The sequence below is a fragment of the Homo sapiens genome, chromosome 2 (assembly GCF_000001405.40).
Source record: "Homo sapiens chromosome 2, GRCh38.p14 Primary Assembly".
Taxonomy (NCBI): domain Eukaryota; kingdom Metazoa; phylum Chordata; class Mammalia; order Primates; family Hominidae; genus Homo; species Homo sapiens.
Genome location: NC_000002.12, coordinates 183299890 through 183305889, shown reverse-complemented (window position 1 = coordinate 183305889; position 6000 = coordinate 183299890).

Genomic DNA, 6000 nt, shown 5'->3' with positions numbered 1-6000 from the left:
TAACTTCATCTACCTAGCCCTCCTGCTATGAAAAGTTGTTTGATTGTACTTGTTCATTATCGGTGAAATCATTTAAAGACACATATTTCTAAACACAAGAACTCTGCTCCAAGAGAGAAACAAGTGCAGTCTTCCGCATGGAGAAGCTTTTCTATCAGAATAGGATGAAAAGATCACACCTTAAGCCAGGCAAATCTGAATTTCCACGCTCTTCTGAGATATAGATGCTGATGTTTTGGGGCATTTTAATTTTTGCCAAGACAACCAAGTCATTGAATTTTGGAAAGACAACTGTATAACATGGTTTTAAAAATCAATTTGTTCTAAGAGACTATTTCTTTCTTTCCCGTCAAAGGAATTACATGCATGGGTTATTTCATGACATATAAGAAAACATCCCTCATTTTTATGATGTATATGGCACCACTTGTGACTTTGGTGCTCATGTCTTAAAGACTATAACTTGCTCATAAAAATAAATCAGATGTTTCTGCAGAGTTTCTGCATGTAATGCTGCTGCCGTCTGCTTACCCCCAGTACCTAATGAGGCATGAGACAGGCTCTGAGCACAATCAAGTTGTTTACTTTCCTCTGGCCAATAAAGAACTACAAAAAGGTATTAGAGTTTATATTCAGCTATATCATAGACAAAATGGACACGGCGGGGTGGGCAGAGGAAAGAAAGTTCTTCAACATTAAAATGCTTCCAAGTTTTTTCTATGTAACGAGACAAAAAAAAAGTAAGTGAGGATGAACAAGAATGAATTCAAGCAATGGTGCTATCAATAGCATCAAGATGAAGAACATAATATGTATCAGAAGCAGCTAAAGATGCTATCCTCATGTCTCTGGGATCCTCTTAGTCATCCAAAAACAGCCTTTTCTCTTAACATGAAAGGAAGAACAGTCCTAGAAAAGAAAAGAATTGCCTCTTAATAGACGGCACAAAAAAAAGATAGGAATCCTGTTATGCATACAACCCTAGCTTTGGAAATGTCTTCTTTAAAATTAAAACACTTAAAGCTTGGTTTTGCAAGAAAAATGTCAACTCTGGCAGCAATAACATTTTCATTGTGTCATAATTTAAAATATTCTGGTAATTTTGGGGAGTATTTAAGGGGAAAGTAAGACTACTCTGGCAAAACTTTTACATGTTTATATTGAAAAACATCATTTATTAGCAACCTTGGTGATAATGCAAACCTCTCCCCCTTCCAGGTCTTCAGCAGCAGCAAGGGCAGAAGACCAAATGAGGAAGGGGCTGCCACAATGGTGGATAGTCTACTGCTCACAAAAGCACCTGCTGAGCTTCTCCCAATTCTGGATTCCTGCCATGCAGCAAAGGTGAAGAGTCAGGCAAGCAAGGCCACAGGGCTTCATAAACATTTGATTTACTCATAGTAGTTGCAGCCCTGCTGGTTAGTGAAACAAGCTTATACAGTGTACAAATTTCTCTTAAACATACAGAATCAGTATATCCCTTTATTTACCTTTCAATTTATTTTTGATGCAGCCCCCAATGCAACCCCAGTCACTTCCCTAAGACAGTTCAGAAAACCTCACATAGTTCCACTCTTGAAATACTTTTATTCCTCTGGTGAGGTTTTGCTTACTGAACTACTCATGTTTTAACTGATAGACACTGCCAGTTTTCCAAACTGGTTGTACCAACTCCCACAGGCTACATATGTCAGCTGCAGTTGCTCAACATTCTTGTTAACAGTCTTGTATTTTCAGTCTTTATAATTTTAGCCACTCTGATGTCTGTGTAGGGGTAACTTGTTGTGCTATGTCATCTCCCTAGTAACTGATGATGTTGAACACCTTTCTACATGCTATGGCTTTTGGATAGCCACTTTTGTGAAATGCTCAAACATTTTGCCCACGTTTTTATGGAGCTATTTTTTCCTTACAGATTTGTAGGAGTTATTTACATATTCTAGATACAAGTCTCATGTTTAATATATGCACTCCAGAGATCTCCTCTCAGTCTAAGACTTGCCTTAGAGAAAATACATCTTTTCCTCACCCATTACAAGGTTTGTGGCTGAAAACCCTATAATAATAAACAGATTAACAGTAGAAAAGCATACAAATTTATTTAATGTAAGTTTAATGTGACACAGGGGCCTTCAAAAATGAAGTTCCAAAGAAGCAGAAAACTGCATATATTTTATGCTAAGTCTGATGAAAAAGTGAATAGTTGTGGAGAAACATGATTGGACAAAAAGAGGTATAATCTCACAGTAATTAACTGGGGAGAACATAGTAAGGCTGGTTTGCTTAGATTATTTTCCATGTCTCTGTAGTCCTTAAAGCTAAGAATATTCTTTTCCTCTGAGTGTAAGGAAGACTCCCCATTGAATGAGGATTTTACAATCTATTTTTAGGGTAAGGTCAGTTAAATTTTACAGTCCCCTTCAGGGCAAAAGGGGCAAGAGGAATTCCTCCTAGTTCATATGGACTGCTTCTGCTGTTTCCTCAAATCCCAAAGTGTCTTATTTTGGGGTAGCATGTCCTGAACCCCATCAACTTCAATTAATAGATGTTCTTATCATAGGGAAGTCAAATTTATCAACTATTTCTTTTAGGAATTATGCTTTCTTGTGTCTTGTTTAAGAACTGTCTGCTTACCTCAAGGTCATGAATATATTCTCCTATATTTTCTTCCAGAAGCATTACTTTTCTCTCCTTTTAGATTTAGTTCTATCATTCAGCTAGCCATAATTTGTGTATGGTATCAGTTAGAGAAACAAAGTTTGATTTTTCTTTCCCATATAGATATCGAATTGATTCAACATTATTTAGTGAAAATGCTTTCTTTTACCCTAAGTTAGTTGATAGTGTGTATGTGTGTCTGTTTCTGGACTCTTTTGTTCCATTGATAAAGAAAAGAGTCCAAAGTTGGTAAAGAACTAGGAGTAGATTCTGTTTGACATACCTATTCAGGATAAATCTATCATATAGCCCCACAATTCCATTCTTTTGTCATGAACATACCCAAGAGAAATGAGTATTTATATCCACCAAAAAGATATGTACAAAAATGTTCATTAAATCTTTACTCACAATAGTAAAAAAATACAATCCAAATATTCATCAATGGAATGGGTAAATTATAGTATATTCATATAATGAAAAGCAATTTTAAAAGCTGCATAGCAGATGCACATTATTGCATATCAATAAAAAAGAATAAGTGAACAAACTCTATAGGAAAAAAATCTAATAATCTAATTAAAAAACAGTTGAAAGTCCACATGTCCTCACTCATAAGTGAGAGTTGAACAGTGAGAACACATGGACACAGGAAGGGGAACATCACACACCAGGGCCTGTTGGGAGGTGGGGGGAAAGGAGAGGGGGGGCATTAGGATAAATACTTAATGCATGCGGGGCTTAAAACCTAGATGATGGGTTGATAGGTGCAGCAAACCACCATGGCACATGTATATACCTATGTAACAAACCTGCACATTCTGCACATGTATCTCAGCACTTATAGTAAAATTTTAAAAAAAGAAATGTGTGATTTTTAAATAGAAAATATGGAAAGCTACCCAATATTTTAAAAGTTAACTTAATATTCAAAAAGCTGCTAAAAAATAGGTGAAAGATTTGGGTACGCGTTTCTCAAAAGAAGACATACAAATGGCAAACAAGTATGTGAAAAGATGCTCATCATCATTAATAATCAGAGAAACACAAATTAAAACACAGTGAAATGGCATCTCACCCCAGTTAAAATGGCTTTTATCCAAAAGATAGGCAATAACAAATGCTAGTGAGGATGTGAAGAAAAGGGAACCCTCATACATTGTTGGTGAGAATGTAAATTAGTACAGCCACTATGGAGAACAGTTTGGAGGTTCCTCAAAAAACTAAAAATAGAGTTACCATATGATCTAGCAATTAAATTTCACTGCTGGGTATATACCCAAAAGAAAGGAAATCAGTATATGAACAGATATCTGCACTCCCAAGTTTATTGCAGCACTATTCACAATAGCTAAGATTTGGAAGCAACCTAAGTGTCCATCAACAGGGAAATGGATAAAGAAAATGTCATGCATATACACAATGGAGCACTATTCAGCCATAAAAAAAGAATGAGCTTCTGTCATTTGCAACAAAATGAACACAACTGAATAAAGTTAATAATGTTAAATGAAACAAATCAAGAACAGAAAGGCAAACCTCACATGTTCTCACTTATTTGTGGGAGCTAAAAATTAAAACAATTGAACTCATGGAGATAGAGGGTAGAATGATGGTAAACAGAGGCTGGGAAAGGTAGTGGAGAGGCATGGAGAAGTGGGGATGGTTAATGGAAACAAAAATATAGTTAGTATGAATAAAATCTAGTATTTGATAGCACAACAGGGCGACTACAGTTGACAATAATTTATTGCACATTTTAAAATAACAAAAAGTATAGGTGGAATATTTTTAACACATAGAAAGGATAAATGATTAAGGTGATGGATATCTCATGTACCCAGATATGATTATTACACATTCTATACCTGTATTAAAATACCTCATATATCCCATAAATATATGTACCCACTATGTACCTACAAAAATTAAAAATAAAAAAATTTTTAAAGATTTGCTGGCAAGATGGCTGAATAGGAACAGCTCCGGTCTGCAGCTCCCAGCGAGATCAACGCAGAAGATGGGTGATTTCTGCATTTCCAACTGAGGTACCCATTTCGTCTTATTGGGACTGGTTGGACAGTGGGTTCAGCCCATGGAGGGCGAGCTTAAGCAGGGTGGGGCATTGCCTCACCCGAGAAGCACAAGGGATCAGGGGATTGCCCTTCCCCAGGCAAGGGAAGCCGTGACAGACTGTACCGGGAAGAATGGTGCACTCCAGCCCAGATACTGTGCTTTTCCCACGGTCTTCTCAACCAGCGAACCAGGAGATTCCCTCTGGTGCCTACTCCACCAGAGCCCTGGGTTTCAAGCAAAAAACTGGGCAGCCATTTGGGCAGACACCGAGCTAGCTGTAGGAGTTTTTATGTTTGTTTGTTTCATACCCCAGTGGCACCTGGAACACCAGCAAAACAGAACCATTCACTCCCCTGGAAAAAGGGCTGAAGCCAGGGAGCCAAGTGGCCTGGCTTGGCAGGTCCCATCCTCCTGGAGCCCAGCAAGCTTAGATCCACTGGCATGAAACTCTTGCTGCTAGCACAGCAGGCTAAGTTCTACCTGGGATGCTGGAGCTTGGTGAGGGGAGGGGCACCCACCATTGCTGAGGCTTGAGTAGGCGGTTTTACCCTCACAGTGTAAACAAAGCCACCAGGAAGTTCAAACTGGGCAGAGCCCACCGCAGCAGAGCAAGGCCACTGCAGCCAGACTGACTCTCTAGATTCCTCCTCTTTGGGCAGGGCATCTCTGAAAAAAAGGCAGCAGCCCCAGACAGGGACTTACAGATATCACCCCCATCTCTCTGGGACAGAGCACCTGGGGTAAGGGGCAGCTGTGGGCACAGCTTCAGCAGACTTAAGCGTCCTTACCTGACAGCTCTGAAGAGAGCAGCAGATCTCCCAGCACATTGTTTGAGCTCTGATAAGGGGCAGACTGCCTCCTCAAGTGCCTCCCTGACCCCCGGGTATCCTGACTGCAAGACTCCTCCCAGTAGGCCAACAGACACCTCATACATGACAGCTCTGGCTGGCATCTGGCAGGAGCCCCTCTGGGACAAAGCTTCCAGAGGAAGGAACAGGCAGCAATCTTTGCTGTTCTGCAGCGTCTGCTGGAGATACCCAGGAAAACAGGGTCTGGAGTGGACCTCCAGCAAACTCCAGCAGACCTGCAGCACAGGGACCTGACTGTTAGAAGAAAAACTAACAAACAGAAAAGAATAGTATCAACATCACCAAAAATGGACGTCCACTCAGAGACCCCATCCAAAGGTCACCAATGTGAAAGACCAAAGACAGATAAATCCACGAAGATGGGGAGAAACCAGTGCAAAAAGGCTGAAAATTCCAA